Source organism: Homo sapiens, chromosome 2 (assembly GCF_000001405.40).
Source record: "Homo sapiens chromosome 2, GRCh38.p14 Primary Assembly".
Lineage (NCBI taxonomy): Eukaryota > Metazoa > Chordata > Mammalia > Primates > Hominidae > Homo > Homo sapiens.
Window position 1 is genome coordinate 216,888,133 of NC_000002.12, and position 19,616 is coordinate 216,907,748.

Genomic DNA, 19,616 nt, shown 5'->3' on the forward strand with positions numbered 1-19,616 from the left:
GCCTCACCTCGCAGGGCATTCTGAGACAACATCTGCTGCAGCTGGGCTGCTAGCTGGCCGGACACTCTTCAGTCACGCTCTGACAGATGGATCCAAATAAATCAGTTCACAGCAGGAAAGGGCTTGGAGAGTTCCAAGTTTGTTGAAACCAGATCTGGTCTGGAGGGACAGAGAGAAGCCATTTCAGAGAGAGCCAGGAGGGACAGGCCTCAGGCCAGATAGGTGCTCCTGCTCAGAAAGGAGCCCAAGAGGCAGTTTCCCGGTGGGACCTTCTACACTTTCCCCAGGAGCCCCTCTTAGCCTCCCCTTGACTGGACTTTTGAGACATTGATGGGCTACATGTGTGTAAGAGCGTGCAGCTGTCTAATTCTTGTGCACATTCCTAGACCTGTAGTGCCCAGGGTCAACATGGCAGTTAAGGGAGGTTTGGAGGGCAGCATGAGCCACTGGGTCAAGTGTGCATGAAATTGACAGGCCTGGGTGCAACTCACCTGCTACTGGCTGGAGAAGCTTGAGGCCCACTGTTGTCCTATCACCAGAGATGAGCTTGGAGAAGACCTTCTGTGTTTAAAGATGTTTCTGTGGATGTCGTGTGTTCCAAGCAGACATTCAGTTGTGCTCTAGCTTATTTCATAGTGCAAAGGATCATAGTTTTCCATCTCTGGAGTTTTCTTTCTGGGTCTGCCACAGTCCCCTGTTTCTGGATCAGAAAACGTGAGAGTAGGGTTGTCTATAACGCGCTTTGGTAACATGTCCCACTACCTCCAATCTGTGTTCTCATGCTGCAGTGGCAGTGTACAAAATCCTTTTGTCTAGTTCAAGTATCTCTAGCTGTGACTACAACACATTCCCTCTTATAACTAAAGAGCCTCTGAACCCAGGGGAGCTTCCTGCTGCTCATGCAAATTTTCTTTTTCAGATTCATGGGAAATACCTAACGCTTCTTTCTCCTGAACGTGGGGACTGCTGTGGATGTTGGCAAGGGAGAGACAGCAGGGGAGGGGTGGATCTGGCCTTGCAGGCAGGTCATTTAGGCTCATGAGGCATCTAAAATGGGGCAGTTGAGCCTTGGATTCAGAGTCTGGAGTCTCAAGAGATGGCAGAGCAGCCCTGGAGAACCAGGTTGGGAGTACTAATTCCAGGCCAGTGCCAGCTTGCTGTCTGTGCTCTTATTGATGTATGGAATCCAGGCCACTGCTCCCTCGCCAGGAGCCATGTGAAATAAACCTGTCTTATTACTCATGCCTAAGCCAGTTTGCTGGGTGCTGATCATTGCCAGAGAGAGGCCAGAAGCCAGCAGGCGAATGGTGTCCCTGACGGAGACTTACTTCCCCGGCTGTCATTGGAGTTGGCTCAGAGGACAGGGTCTCATATCACTGTGCCCTCCCACGATCCCCTTGGCAGTTTCTCCTTTGAGAATTGACCAGGCCAAGCTCAGCCACGCTGACATCACAGAGCCTGGTGGTGCCTGGGGTACTCATGATGGCAATGTCCAAAAATAAACGCTATTGACCGATAATGGTTTGAAATGCAATTTGTCAGGGTGGAAGTGGGCAGGTCTGATGACAGCAGGTGTTGCTAATGGCAGTGAGGGGCAAGATAGATGGGCAAAGGCCATCTGAGGACTTTCCTTCCCTTGCCCAGCACCCTCTACCTGGCGGCTCAGTCTTTTTCTCATTTCTTCCCATAAGGAACAATAATACCATTGCCAGATGGGCATGTCTTCCTATATGGTTTTCAAATTATGTTTCCTTGGAGAGCTGTGCTGAGGATCACCTGAGAGCTTGGGAGAGGGGACTAAGTGGGACTGTAATTGTCATTTTATGCGCTAGGAAGGTGAGACACAGAAGTTCAGTGAGGTGCCCAATTTGTAAGAGGCAGAGCTCGTTCTAGAACAGGATGTTCTGATTCTGGACTCAGAGTTTTTCTCCTCTGTGGCAGGTTTCCTCCTGCCACTCCTCCATGTTATGCCCCATGCTTCACGAAGTGCCCATGGCTTAGGTTAATGCCTGGTAGACCTGATAAACCAATCCATTGTTTTATTAGGAATAGGTAATGTGGATGGTCAAAAAGGAGAGACTTTTGAGTGGATTGCATGGTGACTTTTAATATAGAGTTAGCAGATTTAGCAAATGAAAATATGGATGCCCAGTTCAATTTGAATTTCAGGTAATCAGTGAATACTTTTTTAGTATAAGTATGTCCCAAATATTGCGTAAGACATGCTTTAGATTAAAAATATGAAATTCAAATTGAACTGGATGTTCTGTATTTTATCTGGCAATCCTATTTTAATGACCCCCCAAACTATGCCATGAGAACGTCATTTTCATCACTGCTAAGACCACTCTATATTAGAATATTAGAATTTGCTAGCCAAGGAAGATGACTGAGAAATTAAGGTTGGGAGCTGACTTTCAGGGTGACTTTGAAGTTAATGCTGTATAACTAGGGGTTAGGTGGGGACAGGTTGAACTAATAACCCTAGGACCCTTCCAGTTTATGTGATGACGGCATGTCCAGCCATTAGCTTTTTATCATCCCATAGCTCTTGGATGCTGTATTCTGTTTTTGTTTCACTTTGTTGTGTTTTCTACCCTTTTTTGCCTTTGCGCTTCAGTTTGTTTAATTTCTATTGACCCATCTTCAAGTTCACCAATTTTTTCCTCAGCTGTGTTGAGTCTGTGAAGAGTCAGCCACTGGTTTTAGCAGCAAGAACCAGCTCCATACATGGAATAAAGTTGTAGCTGGAGGAACTGGTCATGAGAAATAACTTCCTATGGTGGAGGATGTGATGTCCTAGAAGAGAAGACTGAGGGAATCTGTGCTCTAAGTCCGCTACAAGGAGTCTTTTGGGGAGTAGGGAGAGAGGGGGAAGGTGGTTCCCGTTTTTTCTAGCTCAAACATTTACTGTGGTTCGGAAGTGAAGGGAGGGGTTTTTCTGCAGTTACTCCTAAGGTGCCAAAGCAGGACCCACCAGGAAACTGGGCAAAGCCTTGAACCCAGTAAAAGATAAATGGGAGATGAAAAATGTTAGAAGGAGTCAAGGTTAGAAAATTTCTAGCCTAAGAAAAAAGTCTTTGTGCCCAGATATGGGGGTAAGGGCTGGATCTGCTGGCTCAAAGCCTCTAAGCACAGCTTTGTAGTGATTACGGTACTGGTTTAGGGAGGCTTGCAAAGTGTCAAGAGGTTAGGTAGGTCCTGGAGGTGATTATATATATTTTAAAGACCGTAAATACCTGCTCCTTTTTGAGTACCCAGCGCTAACACACTGTGGTAGTAACTCCAGTGACTGTAATGTTAAACAGGGCTCAGTCCCTGTTTTATGTAGTTTTTAGTCAAGAAATATTTGGGATCTTCCCCCAGATTTTTGTATTATGCCCCCGCTTTTTTCCTATTATTCATATTTTAGCTTAAATATTAACTATGGTGACAGGCGTTTCCTAAAAGTACAGCCTGCAGTACCTCTTCATTTCACACAGTCCTACTGCAATCATGAAGACTTAGTATTTTTTTGTTTATCTATTGCTGATTGACTATCTCCTCCTTCTTGAATGTGAGTCCCACAGGGAACTGGAGCAGACTCTTCCCTGCTGTATTCCCTTTGCCTGGCAAATAACAGATATTCAATAAAGTTCATTTGGTGAATGAAGAAAAGGAAAATTATCTGACTAGAGTTTTGTTGTGATAGAATGAGCTAACATTTGATCTAAAGAGAACCCCAGAACTCTTTTTAACATTTTGCTGTGTTTTTGTTCAGTTTCTCGTTTAACCGTCTAACAAGCATGGTGCAAAAGCAAAAGGCAGAAAATAGTCTCAGCCCACAAGCTTTTAAAGCACCATGTCTGTAATTCTTTTTTTTTTTTACAGTGATGAATACAGAGAGCTTAATGGCTGCTTTTCTGAGTGATTGATTAATTAAGGTGTAAGCTCAGGGAGGCTCTGACCCAGTGGACCATTCCTTTGTGAGCAGTTGTTTCCCTACTGCAGTTCTGTGTGGTGAATGAGCGTAGAGTTCCTGGAAACTTTAAAGGACAAAGAACATGAATTCACAAAATAATATATACATGGGAATATATTTATCTGATTGAAAAAGCTACAATTTTATATTTAAATGAATCAATTTATAGCAATGCTTTATGAAGCATATCTCTTATGGGAAATAACTATGATTTTAGACACCCAAACAAATAATAAAATCCAGCAATCGTTGTCAGTTTTGTTAAGTTTCTCTCTGAGTGTCTGGCTGAGCTGCTTAAAGAAACAGAGCCCTTTGCAGTTTTAAGGTCAAAGGTCCTGTGGCTACAGGTGCTAGGGTCAAAACACAATTTGACCCCAGATCTTTGTAAACTAAACAGACCTGACTTTTTGCCCAAAAGAAACAGAATAAGAGAGTGTGGTGCAGGGAGTAGGGCAGAGGGACCCAGAGAAAGAGACCTAGAGGTAATTGATTAATTCATTGGTTTAATCAGTTATTTATTCTACTATGTTTATTATGAGAGTCCAGACACATTGCTGCACTGTATGGAGCCTGGTAAGATAAGTCAGATAAGACTTCTGACCTTGTAGGATGGCGCCTTAACAGGGAAAAGGATGCAGGTGTCGAAATTGGTTTGCGGGAAGGTAACAGATTTGGGCTGAGATACATTGGTTTTGAGATAGCCAGACATGGAGCTGGAATTATCCAACAGTCACTGTAGCAACCATGAATAAGGCCTTTCCTCTGGGCTCTGGACTCACAGATCCACCAGCCTAGCTGGAATTTCCTTTTGGACATTTCAAATTTAATGCATTCAAAGCCAATTTCCCCCCACCTCTATGAGCTCCTCCTCAACTGTTCTCATTCTCTGTGGCACCACTGGTTACCCAAGCCCAGGAGCCTCCCTGACTTCTCCCTCTCTCCCATTCTCCATTTCCTACTCACCCAAACCCAAGTTACATTGATTTCATCTCTGAAACACCTCTTGAATCTTCATCTTCCTGTCTCTCTCCATCTTAAATTCCATTCTAGACTGCCATCACTTCCCATCTGCACCCTCTCCTCTCTACAACGTGTCTGCCTGCCCCACTCTGGCCTCTACTCTCTCCTTGTTACACACCTACCGTAGAGGTGTCAGAATGCTAATCCAATCACACCAATGCCCTGGTTAACATGCTTCAGAGCTCACCCTTGCTCTCAGGAAGACCACATTTCTAATGTAGCTTCCAAGGTCCATCATGTCTGGCCCTGTGACCTAACCTCCTGTCCACTTCTCCCTTCCTTTCCGCTGTTTCAACCACGTGGACCTTCCTCCACCTCTCATACTTGTCTCTTTTCTTCTACAAGGCTTTTGACATGCTGTCTGTAATAGGCAGAATAATGACCTCCCAAAGATGTCCACAGCTTAATCCTCAGAACCTGTGAATATGTTTCATCGCATGGCAAAGGGGAAATAAGGTTGCAGATGGAATTAAGGTTGTCAATCAACTGACCTTAACATAGAGAGATCATTCTGGATTATCTGGGTGGGCCCAGTGTAATCACAAGGGCCCTTAAGAGTAGCAGAGGGAGCAGAATAAAAGGCTGAAATGATTTGATGAGAGATGGACTCAATCAGACATCACTGGCTCTGAAGATGGAATGGAGCCGAAAGCCAAAGAATGCAGGCAGCCCCTAGAAGCTGGAAAAGGCAAGGAAACAGATTCCCCCTAGAGCCTTCAGAAAGGAATGCACTTCTGCCAACATCTTGATTTTTAGCTCAGTGAGACTAGCATCATGTGTCTAAACTATAGAACTGTAAGAGAATAAATGTGTGTTGTCTTAAGCCACTATGTTTGTGGTGATTTGTTACAGCAACAACATAAAACAAATACACATGCTGTCCCTCTGCCTGGAAGACCCTTCTCTGTCTTGGTTGTCAACTCCTCAGATCTTAGCCCAAGTGCCATTTCCTCAAGGAGTTCTCTTCAGGGCCTCCTGACTGTATTATACTTTCTTTTATAATAGCCATTCAAAGCTTTATTTTCCTCTCCTTTTAAAATAATTTGCTATCATTCCAGCTATGTGTTTGTTTATATGACAGGCAGCATGGCATGCTGGTTAAAAGCATAGATGGGCCCCGTAGCCCGGTGGCTTATGCCTGAATCCTGCCTCCACTACCTGTTGTCTGTGTGATCTTGTGCAAGTTACTTAACCTCTCTACATATTGCCTCAATGATCTCACTGATGACCCAGGAATAATAGTACCTTCCCATAGGACTATTGTAAGAATTAAATGAATATTGCCTCAGTGATCTCACTGATGACCCACCCAGGAATAATAATAGTACCTATCCCATAGGACTATTGTAAGAATTAAATGAATAAACAAAGTGCTTAGAACGGTTTCTGCTGTCAAGTATATACTCTTAATGTTGATCTCTCCCTGTATGATTGCATTCTCTTTAAGGACAGGGATCATGGCTACTTCCTCTTGCCACTTTACTCAGCACCTACACAGGGTTTGGTATACAGTAGTAGGAGTTCAATATATGCATATAGAATGAATGAATGAATAAATGAATGAGAGAATGAATGAATGCATTCAGAATTGGAGCTTGGGAGATGGTAGATCTGAAAATACATAGGAGAAACGACTCTTTTCCCAAATTGGTTACTCTAAAGGTAGCGTTTCTTAATCTTGGCACAATTGACATCTTGGGCTGGACAATACCTTGGGATGGGAGCTGTTTTGGGCATTGTAGAAAGTGTAGCAGCATCCTTGGCTTCTACCCTCTAGATGCTAATAACAACCCGCCATGTCCCACCCCACCCTCATACCAGTTGTGATAACTAAAAATTGTCTCAGACGTTGCGGCATGTCCCAGGGAGGGAAAAATCATCCCCATGTTGAGAATGGCTGCTCAGTGGGTGCAGCTGTCACACCAAACAGCGACCTCAGTGTGGGTGAGCATGTGTGTGCAAGGCTGTACTCTGCCATGTCTGCCTGGCAGGACTCCAGGAGTTACCTGCTGCACAGTACCCTCAGCACTTACTTGCCCCAGCTTAGCTGCTCTAGGCCTCTGAATGTGGAGTGCAATTTGGTGTGAGAACAAGGATAGGGTTGCCCTTAAAGCTACGACACAATCATTTCCCGAATGCAGGAGGGGTTTATGTCAAAGCATATAATTCTTGAACTTTTCAGAAAATAGATTTTCATGCTAATCTGAGTTCTACAAAGATTTTAATAAATGGGATAAAATTTTGGATATGCAGATGACTTTCCTCTCTGGCTTCCTTCTTTCATTATCAGCTTGAAAATACAAGAAACCCATTGGTTTCCCGCCCGCGTCCCCCATAAGTAGTTCTCTTTAAATGCTGCTTATCCTCAGAAAAGGGCTACTTGGGTAAATTCTAGCAGGTAAACATATTAATTCCCAGTACTGGGTGCAGAGATGGGAGGTTGAAGGAGGTGGTAAAAGCCCTCTCTCCAGAGAGTGGTATAAACAGATTGAAGTGCAATCTCCATGGATTGGACTTTATGGATGTGGAGACAGAGAGGGGGATAAACCCACAGCATCCATCCAATGGGCCACTGCTTAGAGAATGAGAACCCGCATTCTTTTCCGTACCATTCTTTATACTGTGACCTGCAGGTCCTTCCTCAGTAGAAAAACCTGAAAATGGAGAGTTTAAGTGGAAAGCAAGATAACCCTGACCTCTAATAAAGGGGGTCCTGAGGAAGGAAAGAACCAAGAGCAAAGTCAAAGGTGCCTCAAAGACCCTCAGGAAAAACCAGTTTCGCCACTCTCCAAGGCCACTGGAAAGGTGGAGGAGATAAGCTGAATCTCCCCAGGCAGCTTGGGAAAAAAAGGAGCCCAGAAATAGGGCTGAGTCTATTTGTAAAGTGGAGGTGGAGCCAAGTTAACACTGCAGGTCTCCTGCCCCGAAGAGAGGTCTAGTGACAGGTCACTTTCCTCAGGGACTATTCCCATGGGCTGTATTTATTACTGTCCCAAGGAATCCAATGGAAGTCAGCAATACAAAAACTAATCTCATCCCCAATTACATATCTGTGTTTTAGATGCACTGTAATGTGACAAATCTGTTAGGGTTTGTGAATGCGGTTTTTTTTCCTTGCACATTGGTGCATTGTTGCAGGGGTGGTTTGTGCAAGCCGTGGGACTGGTGCCCAGAAGAGGATCAAATGGAGGAGAGATGAGGATCTCGTAGGAGAATGAATTTGATTTCGGGAGGTAGGGCTAAAGAGACAAAGGTGATTGTAGAAGCCATGGGATGTTTTGAGCAGAAAAGATGGAATGTGGCCAGGCGGATCAGCCCAGGCAAAATAGAACTTAGAAATCCAACAGGCCCATTTTACAGATAAGGAAAGGAGGACAAGTAGGGAAATGATTTTCTCAAGGCCAAATATCAGAGTCAGTAACAGAGATGGATGCCGTAAGCAATCAATTGCTTACTGTAGTCTCATCAACTGCATTCGCTAGCTTCATTAATATTCAAGCCACTTAATGATTTCAGAATCAACTCTACAAGATAGGGAATAATTGATAATGGTTTTAGTTTTTACTTTAATGGGACAGTAATTTATTAACAGAAGTTGCCAAGAAATTATAAGATTCTTTGCAAACAATAACATATTATTTTCCTATATAGCCAGTGTTTTGTTTTCAGAAAAGGGAACCACTTGTTGAAAAAAATTATTATAAATTAATTGTATATATTTTATTATTATTAATGAGACATATTATTTTATTTCCATCCTGTATTGGATAGGTTTGGCTTTTGGAAAGGAAACTTAGATCCATTTGTCTGAAGAACTTAAAGGAGGCAGTCTACAAGATCAACATTAGGGTGGCCACTGTGACACTCTTCTTTTTAGCTCTTGCACTTCTTTCTTAGAAAAGTCAACAGGAAAAATAGGAAGATTTCTGTTGTATTCTCCCTTGGTCAAACCTCATATGAAAAATATATTTTACCTCTGGGGACCACATTTTAAGAGAGACACATTCAGACACTAAAAAACTGGTTAGAAGAGGAGCCAAAAGAGTAATCTAACCTGTTATCAGGGATGTGGGAAGAAACCCTTAGCTGGTGAACCAGTCCCTTCCTTCTCAAAGCCTATGTATTTGTCTGTTTTTTTTTTTAATGTATGTATGATTTATTTATTTATTGTTTTGATTATACTAGTGGCAGATGCTGCCAAATGTTCTGTTGGAAATACTGAGAAATGTTCTTTAGATTTTGAAACTAAGAGGTCACAGGTGAACTTAGAACTTTTGGTAGAAAGGACATAAAGGGGGTAGAGAGAGCAGAAGCCATATTGAGGAGTATATCAGAAGCGTAGAAGTGGTTCAAGTAACCTCTATAATCATTTCTAAATCTGTAACTTTATCCTCTCTTCTCACAATAATTTATATCCCCCTTAAGTCCACCTGTTGAGGATCTTCAGAATTTGCATTTGCCAAAGGGATGGCAAAGCATCTGGGCCTGCAGTGCTTCCTTTCCCTCCCTACAGGCTGGTCTTGAACTCCGACCTGCTTGTTCTGGCTTTTGGTTACTATTAGACAATCAAGATTTTCTCCCAAAACACTCTCCCAAGAATTAAGGCTGCTGGATAGGACTTGGCTCTCTGCCACCTCTCCTTCATAGAGGTCCCATCACAAGATTTCCTTCGGTAGCCATAAAAGCTGAAAGTGAACAATTAAAGCCTGTTCCCTAGACCCCTATTTCAAAATATTCCTTATAGTGTAATCATAAGTCTTAAAATGGTCTGAATGAGTCATAAAAGTAAAATCTTGATTTTTTAAATCTTTATAAGTTTTACTTTCTGTATAACTTTGATTCATGACCTCAAAGACAGAGTAATGTTTTCCTGTATTCTAACTCATTACTTCCTGTCTTAGTCCATTTTGTGCTGCTATAACAGAATGCTTGAGACTGGGTAAGTTATGAAGAACAGAAATTTGTTGGCTCACAGCTCTGGAGGCTGGGAAGTCCAATATCAAGGTGCTGGCACCTTGCTAGGGCTTTTTTGCTGCATCATAGCATGGCAGAAGGCATCACATGGTGGCCAAAGAGAAGGCAGAGAGATAGTGAAAGAGAGCAAAAGATGGAGTGAGCCCACTCCTGAGATAAGAAATCCACTTCTGTGATAATAGTGTTAGTCCATCATGAGTGTGGTGACCTCATGACCCAAACACCTCTTAAAGATCCTACCTCCCAAAATTGTCACAATGGGGCAATTAAATTTCAACATGAGTTCTGACAAAAAGAAATATTCATATCATAGCACCTCCTCTTTTCATTCCTTATTCTCTTCTTTCTTTCTCCTTCCCTTCCTCTATTCTTCTTTTTTTCTTTTTTTCTTACCATTTAGATACAGTCTTATTTCTGTTTGCCCTAAAATATTAAAAAAAAAAGTTCACCAGTAGTATATGAATGCAGTATCATTGCAGGGAAGGGAAAACTGTCACTAATACAGATCTTAGGTTTCTTTCTTAGATGCAGTGACAGTTATTGGGGTTTGAAATACATCTTCTACACCCTTGCCACTCAAAGTGAGGTCTGAGGAAGGCCAGCATCCAAATCCGTGGGGTTCTCTTTTGAAGTGCAGAATTTCAGCTCCATCTTAAGCTCAGTGATCCAAAATCTGCATTGTAACAATGTCTCCAGGTGATTCCTATGCACAATGAAATTTGAGAAGTGTTCTACTCTAGATAAGTAGCTTTTAAACAGTTTGGATCACTTGCTCCCACCTTTAAAAAAAGATTTTGAGTATATAGCCTAATATGTGTACTTATGAATTGTGTAGTTGCTTTTCTATTAATATTGCATATCATTAAAGCTTCTTGTAGACAATATATAGTTGGGACTTCTTTTTTATTCGTTCTGACAGTCTCTTACACTTAAAGTGATTATTAACATAGTTGTATTAACATCTATCATATTTACAACAATTTTCCACTCATTTGCCTCATTCTTTGTTTCTTTTTTGTCTTCTACTTTTTTTCTGCCTTCTCTTATTTTAATTGAATATTTAATATAATTCCATTTTCTCCCCTTAGTGTATAAATTACACTTTTTAAAAAGTGGCTGCCCTAGAGTTTGTGGTGTATATTTACAACAAATTCAAGACTACTATCAAATGACACTATACCATTTTATGGGTGGTGCAAATACCTTTTAACAACAAAGTATTCTTAATTCTTCCTCTTGTCCCTTACAACGTTGCTGTCACTCATTGCACTTACCCATAAGCTATAATTATCAAATACATTTTTGGTAACATTATTTTGAACAAATTGTTATCTGTTAGATTAAGATAAGAAAAATAAAGCATTTTATTTTACCTTCATTTAATCCTCTCTAATACTCTTTCTTTATGTAGATCCACGTTTCTGACCTATATAATTTTCCTTTTCTCTGAAGAACTTAACATTAATTGCAGGTCTATTGATGACAAATTCCCTCAATTTTCATTTGTCTAAGAAAGCCCAGTCTTTATTTTACCTTTGTTTTGAAGGATATTTTTGCTGAATATAAAATTTTAGGTTGGTGGTATAAATGGAAAATAAAATTTCAGAACCCCGAACTCACTATGCCATAGGGCAAAGTTAAGCTTGGAACTGAGTGGTGCAAACTGCCTCCTATTTTGTTCCTAAATATAGATAGCTGCAAAAATAGAAAGGCCACATACCCCCCTGGGGTCAGGGGGCTCCCTCACAATTTGCTCACAAGAAAACTTTTTTAGGGGCCGAAGATCTTTACCCTAAAACAGAGTTCTGTTGAATTTCACCCTGACAATGTAAATCAACAGCTTATCCTCACAGGTACAGGACAGACAGGACTAGAAGTCATTCCTCCATTCACCTGAGATAAATGTGTATTTCACTACTTCCTCTGCTCTATGTTTGATTCTTTGATGTGAAAATTCAGATTCACTGAATGACAGATGAATGCATAGTTTTCTGTTCCTCTAACCCTCTGTTAGGCTATTTTTGCACTGCTATAAAGAAATACCTGAGACTGGGTAATTTATAAAGAAAAGAGGTTTAACTGGCTCACGTCTGCAGGCTGGACAGGAAACATGGTGCTGGCAATTTCTAGGCTTCTGGGAAGGCTCAGGGAGCTTTTACTCATGGCAGAAGGTGAAGCAGGAGCAGGCATGTTACATGGCAGCAGTGGGAGCAAGAGAGACAGTGAGGGGCAAGATGCCACACACTTTTAAACAACCAGATCTTGCAAGAGCTCACTATCATGAGGACAGCATCAAACCATGAAGGATCTGCCATTACTACTGAAATCCTTCCCACTAGGCCCCACCTCCAACTTTGGGGACCACATTTCAAAATGAGATTTGGTCAGGACAAATATCTATACCATCTTCTGCTCTTAGCCCCACAAATCTCATGTCCTTCTTGCATTTCAAAATACAATCTCAATAGTCCTCCAAAGTCTTAACTCATTCCAGTGTTAAGTCCAAAGTCCCAAGTCCTAAGTCCAAAGTTTCATCAGGAAATGATTTCCTTAAATCTATGTGCCTGTAAAATCAAAACAAGTAATTTACTTCTAAGATACAATGAGGGTACTGACACTGGGTAAACATTCCCATTCCAAAGGGGAGAAATTGGCCAAAAGAAAGGGGCTACAGGCCCCATGCAAGTCTTAAACCTAGCAGGGCAGTCATTAAATCTTAAAGTTCCAAAATCTCCTTTGATTCCATGTCCCACATCCAGGGCACACTGCTGCAAGAAATGGGCTCCCAAAGCCTTGGCAGCTCTGCCTCTGTGTCTTTGTAGGGCAAAGTCCCCATAGCTGCCTCACGGATTAGAGTTGAGTGCTTGTGCTTTTTCCACATACATGATGTGAGCTGCGTGGAGGATCTATCATTCCAGGGTCTGGAGAACAGTTGCCCCTTCCCTCAGCTCCACGAGGAAGTGCCCCAGTGGGAACTCTGGGTGGAGCCTCCAACCCCATATTTACCCTCAGAACTACCCTAGTAGAGGTTCTCTGTGAGGGTTGCAGCAGGCTTCTGCCTGGACACCCAGGCTTTTCCATACATCCTCTGAAATATAGGATGAGGCTGCCAAGCCTCCTTTACTCTTACACCCTGCGAACTTGCAAATTTAACACCACGTGGAAGCCACAAAGGCTTATGGCTTGCAACCTCTGAAGCAGTGGCTAGAGGTGTACCTGGAGCCTTTTGAGCTGAGGCTGGAGCTAGAGCAGCCTGGCCATGTGGCAGACACAAAAAAGCATTATCAGGAGAGAAATTCAAGCAGGCTGCAAAGCAGCCACTTGTTAGAGATATTTGCATGATTGAAAGAAAGCCAGATGCTGGTAGCCAAGGCAATGGGGAAAAGACCGTGAAGGCATTTTAGAAGTCTTCCAGTCTGACCCTCCTATCACAGAGCTACAGGCCTATGAGGAAAGAATGATTTTGTAGGCCAGGCCCAGAGCCCTGCTGCCGTTTACAGCCTTAGAATACTGCTCCCTGCATCCAGGATGCTCCAGCTCCAGCCTCAGCTAAAAGGGCTTCAGGTATACCTCCAGCCACTGCTTCAGAGGTTGCAAGCCATAAGCCTTTGTGGCTTCCACGTGATGTTAAATTTGCAGGCTTGCAGGGTACAAGGGTAAAGGAGGCTTGGCAGCCTCAATCTAAATTTCAGAGGATGTATGGAAAAGCTTGGGTGTCCAGACAGAAGCCTGCTGTAGCCCTCACAGAGAACCTCTACTAGGACAGTTCTGAGAGTAAATATGGGGTTGGAGGCTCCACACGGAGCCCACACACTTCCTCATGGAGCTAGGGGGAGGGGCCCCTGTCCTCCAGACCCCAGAATGATAGATCTACCAAGCAGCTCACATCATGCACATGGAAAAAGCACAACTTTTTCAACTCCAACCCATGAGGCATCTACAGGGACTGTGCCCTACAAAGACACAGAGGCAGAGCTGCCAAGGCTTTGGGAGCCTATTTCTTGCAGTAGTGTGCCCTGGATGTGGGACATGGAATCAAAAGATTATTTTGGAGCTCTAAGATTTAATGGGCCAGGCGCAGTGGCTCATGCCTGTAATCCCAGCACTTTGGGAGGCCGAGACAGGTGGATCATGAGGTCAAGGGATCGAGACCATGCTGGCCAACAAGGTGAAACCCCATCTCTACTAAAAATTTAAAAATTAGCTGGGTGTGGTGGCACACGCCTGTAGTCCCAGCTACTCGGGAGGCTGAGGCAGGAAAATACCTTGAACCTGAACCCAGGAGGTGGAGGTTGCAGATAGCCGAGATGACGCCACTGCACTCCAGCCTGGCAACAGAGCGAGACTCCATCTCAAAAAAAAAAAAAAAAAAAAAAAATTAATGACTGCCCTGCTAGGTTTCAGAATAGCATGGGACCTGTAGCTCCTTTCTTTTGGTCAATTTCTCCCTTTCAAAATGGGAATGTTTACCCAGTGTCAGTATCCTCATTGTATCTTGAAAGTAAATAGCTTGTATTGATTTTATGGGCACATAGATTTAAGAAACTCATTTCCTGATGAGACTCTGGACTTAGGACTTGGGACTTTTGACTTAACGCTGAATGAGTTAAGACTTTGGGGGACTATTGAGAAGGGATGATTGTATTTTGAAATGCAAGAAGGACATGAGATTGTGGGGCTAAGAGCAGAATATGGTATGGATATTTGTCCTGATCAATTTTTCAAACTTTTACACTCTGCTTTCTCTTTAAATATAACTTCCAACTTTAAGTCATTTCTTTGCTCCTGCATCTGAGATAGGCTGTTAGAAGCAGCCAGGCCGTATCTTGAATGCTTTGCTGTTGAGCAATTTCTTCCATCAGATACCTTAAGTCATTACTCTTAAGTTCAAACTTCCACAGATCCCTAGGACATGAACACAGTACAGCCATGTTCTTTGCTAAGACATAACATGGGTGACCTTTGCTCCAGTTCCCAATAAGTTCCTCATTTCCATCTGAGACCTCAGCAACCTGGATTTCACTGTTTATATCAGTATCAGAAATTTGGTCACCACCATCTAACCAGTCCCTAAGAGTTTCCAAACTTTCCCTCATCTTCCTGCCTTCTTCTGAGTCCTCTGAACTTGTTAAGCCTCTGTTACCAAGTTCCAAAGTTGCTTCCACATTTTCAGGTATCTTTATACCAATGTCCCACTCTCACGACCAATTTTATGTGTTAGGCTGTTCTTGCAGCCTAACTTCAAGAACAATGCTATAAAGCAATACTTGAGACTAGGTAATTTATAAAGAAAAGCAGTTTAATTTGCTCATGGTTCTGAAGGCTATATAGAAAGCATGGCACTGGCATCTGCTAGGCTCCTGGGAAGGCCTCAAGGAGCTTTACTCATGGCAGAAGGCAAAGTGGGAACAGGAACATTACATGGCAAGGGTGGGAGCAAGCGAGAGAGTGAGGGGCAAGATGTCACACATTGTTAAACAACCAAATCTTGAGAGAACTCACTATCACAAGGACAGCAGTAAGCCACGAAGGATCTGCCCCCATGACCCAAACCCCTCCCACTAGGCTCCACCTCCAGTAGTGGGGACCACATTACAACATAAGATTTGGAGAGAGCAAACACCCAAACCACATCAACCCCCTCTTTTCACATGTAAAATGTAAATTCAGTGAACACTGATCAAAGCCTCAAAAGAATGCAACCACTTGCCTCTTCTATCTACCCTCCCTGTTTTCCCTTTCCTTTCCCCGCTACTGCTCATTCTTTCTACTAGAAATATTGAAGTCCCCAAACCCTCTGGACAAAGCACAGATCACAGATGTTCATGTGATTTTGTGTTCTTTTTTCCCAGGCACGTCCTCAACCTTGACAATATAAATCTCTAAATTGACTGAGATTTGCTTCAGTCATTTTCTTTGGTTTTACAGTGGTTTCTTATTTCAACACTTTAAATATTTCACTCCATTACCTTCTTGCTTGCATAGCTTCTGAAGAGAAGTCCAATCTAATTCCTATTCTGTTCCCCTGTAGGTTAAGATTGTATTGCCCCCTCTGGCTTCTTTCAAGATTTTCTCTTTGTCTTTGATTTTTTGCAGTTCACATATGATATGCCTATTGTATATTTTTTTGTATTCTGCTTAGTGTTTTTTTTTGGGGTGGGGGGGGCTTCCTGGGTCTGTGGCTTGCTGTCTGTCATTAATTTTGAAAAATTCTCAGCCATTATTACTTGAAATATTTCATTTCTTCCTTTTTTTCTGTTTTCCTTACTGGTATTCTCATTGTGTATGTATCTTTTATAATTGTCCCACAGTCCCTGAATACATTGTTGTATTTTTTTGTTCTTTTTTTCCCTGCATTTCAATTTTAAAAGTTTTTATTGACATTTGTTCAAGTTCACTGATTCTTTCCTGGGTGTCAAAGGCCAAACTTTTCTCTAGTGTTCTTATTTTTGTCTTTCCTGTTGTCTTTAGGTTTTCCTAGAAATCCCTTAAGTAGGGTTTGAAACGTACATTTCTTTGAACTGCAATACTCTGTTATTATAACATGCATTATTGATATGGTAAAATGTGGGAGGAAGGGAAACAGTCTATAGCACTCTGGCTGGGTCTCAGTCTTTTCATGAGTCAAAGTCAGATATATATTGTTTTCCTCTGGTTGGTCAGACTTTGGTAAAGCCCCAGTTGGTTAGGCTTAAGTAACACTGTTTCCCTTGAGGGTGAGGGTAAGCCTTGTTAAGGAGAATAGAAAGTTCTGCCTATTAATATATTTCATAATGGTTACTGCCCAGTCCCGCTCTCTCCCAGGGGATATTTTTGTCTGACCTTTACAATAAAAACCTGGTGGTGTGAGGTAAAACTCAGGAAAAGCATGGGGCCCTTTCTAAGACTGGGCCCCCTCAGAGATGTTAACTCTCAAGCAAATCTACACAGAGCCTCCAGCAAATCATCGATTATAATTTAAAGCATTCCTATTGATATTGGCTGCAGCTGACAGCTTTGACTTCTCCTTCTGGGCTTCTGCTTCCAGTAAGCCATGACTTTATGTATGCACCTGTCTCTTCAGAGCTGGAGCAGTGGTTTTCCCTGTGACTCAATTCCTTGGGGAATCTAAAACAAGTTGTTGATATTCAGTTTGTTCTGCTTTGCTCTTGTTTGTGAGGATGGGAGTGATGACTTTCAAGCTCTTTATGTGTCAGACTAGAAAGTAGAAGTCTAAAGTATTTTTCTCTTTTATTTTTAAACCTAAAAATACATTTTTTCTAGAAATTTGAAGATTTCATTCTCACATCCCAGGAGACTGTCTTGTACATACTCTTGGAATAAACACATCCCACCTTGGCCATCACTGCTCCAGATATTCTCAATTTGACTGCACATTAGGGACTCAGGAAGTTAAAAGCAAAAGCAACAAAAGATGCTCAGGCACCACCCCACACCACCTAAATCAGGATCTCTGGGGGAGCATGCTTATGTTTCAAAACCTCCCCCAGGTGATTCTAATAGCAGCCAGGGTTGACAGCCTCTGTTCTTCCAGACCAAATTCTAGACTATTTTATTGCTGCTGACATTAAGGACAAACTAGCATTTTAGCATTGGACTAACCACAATTCCACAGCAAACTGTCAAGGCAGAACCGAACTGGCAATTCCCTTTCTACTTCAGGTTTGTGTTCTTTGTGATTGCATCTCCTGCAACCACAACTTAAGGGAGACAATGTGGCAGGCAGAATTCTCAGGTTGCCCTGATGATTCCTATCCCCTGGTGGTCACATATTGCATAATTCCCTCCCGTGAGCGTAGGTGGGACATGAAAGTTTCTTCTAGCCAATATAATCATAGCAGATATAAGGAAGGTCCTGAAGTCAGTTAATTTTAAGTTAATCTAAAGGGAAATTATCCTATGTGGGTATTACTTAATCAGGTAAAAGCTCTTCAAAGAGAGACTAGGCCCCAGCTAAGGTAAGAGATTCTCCTTGCTGAGTTGATAAAATCCTCTAGTCAAGCCTCAGATGAGAGTGCAGCCTGGCCAATATCTTTCCTGCAGTCTGGTGAGACCTTGAGCAGGGGACCCAGATAAGCTGTGCCCAGAATCCTGACCCACAGAAGCCATGAGATAATAAATATATGTTTCTTAAGGTGCATAGTTTGTTGTAATTGTTTATGGAGCAAATGGAAAACCAATACAGGTGTTTGGCATAATTGGAAAAAAAAAACTTTGGACTTAAATACATCGAGGCCAAATTCCTAGCTCTACTACTAGCTGTGTCACCACTGATGAATTATTTAAGATGGCTGAACAGTTTTCTCATCTGTAAACAGAAAAACATAACTCTTGCCTTGCATGGGTGGGATGGGGATTGTGAGGAATACAGCTAAGTACATATAAGCTTGCTGTTGGTATGTTCAATGCAGTAAGTTCTCAATAGCTGAAAGCTATTACTCTAATGATCATTAAGATCACCATAGGTATTGAAGTAGATAATAAATAAGACCAGTGGTGTTTCTGAAGGTGCCCTTAATTGAAAAGTTTCCACTTCGTCAACCTTCTTTCCAAATAGAAGGAACCTAAGTGTCCAACAGCTGATGAATGGATCAAGAAAACGTGGTATATAGAGACAGTGGAATACTATTCAGCCATAAAAAAGAATAAAAACATGTCTTTTGCAGCAACGTGGATGGAACTGGAGGCCACTATCTTAACAACACAGAAACAGGAAGTCAAATACTGCATGTTCCCACTTATAAGTGGAAGCTAAATAATGTGTACACGTGGACATAGAGTACAGAATGACAGACATTGGAAACTCAAAAGGGTGGGAAGGTGGGGGGCTTAGGGATGTGAAATTACTTCATGGGTACAACGCACATTATTCAGGCACTGAGTACACTAAAACCTCAGGCTTCACCACTATGCAATATATCCATGTAACAGAATGGCCCTTGGACCCCTTGAATTTATACAAATTTTTAAAATGCAAAGAACAAAGCAAAAAAAAAAAAAAAGGAAGAAATAGCATTCTTTACCCTCCTTAGAAGTGGAACAACCTCGTGCAAAGAAAACTCTCCTCAGAAGGAATCTTGATTAACTTCTATCAACTTGTTTCTAGTTTTCAGCAGGCCTCATGGGGGTAGATTGGGCTTTCTGATGTCCAATTTGAATTCTCTTGTGTTCTTTTATTTTGTTTTGAGAAAGAGTCTCCCTCTGTCACCCAGGCAGGAGCACAGTGGCGTGATCGTAGATTGCCATAGCCTCTAACTCCTGGGCCCAAGCTACTCTCCCGCCTCAGCCTCCTGAGTACCCGGGACTACAGGTGCATGCCACTACATCCAACTAGTTAATTTTTTTTTTTTTTTTTTTTTTTTTTTTTTTTTTTTTGTAGAGACGGGGTCTTACTGTGTTGCCCAGGCTGGTCTCAAATTCCTGGCCTCAAGCTATCCTCTCACCTTGGCCTCACAAAGTATTGGGATTATAGGCATGAGCCACTGCACATGTCCTCTTGTTTTCTAATAGAAAGTTGTTTTTTTTTAATCACTTTTCAGATTCCAAACTGACATAGATTTGGAGTTTTAGCCATTGCAATTATAAATTGCAAAGCAATTTATAGCACACAAGCTGCTTTCTATAAACATCACTTCATGTAATCCTCACCACAGTGCTGTGA

General features: G+C 42.1%; 1 annotated feature.

The window, feature by feature from the left end:
• Nucleotides 606-1,133: an enhancer, noted in NCBI's record as "NANOG hESC enhancer chr2:217753461-217753988 (GRCh37/hg19 assembly coordinates)". NCBI's record gives its function as "activates a minimal SCP1, AML or CMV promoter by ChIP-STARR-seq in primed H9 embryonic stem cells {active_cell/tissue: H9 hESC(primed)}" and the evidence as "EXISTENCE:reporter gene assay evidence [ECO:0000049][PMID:30033119]".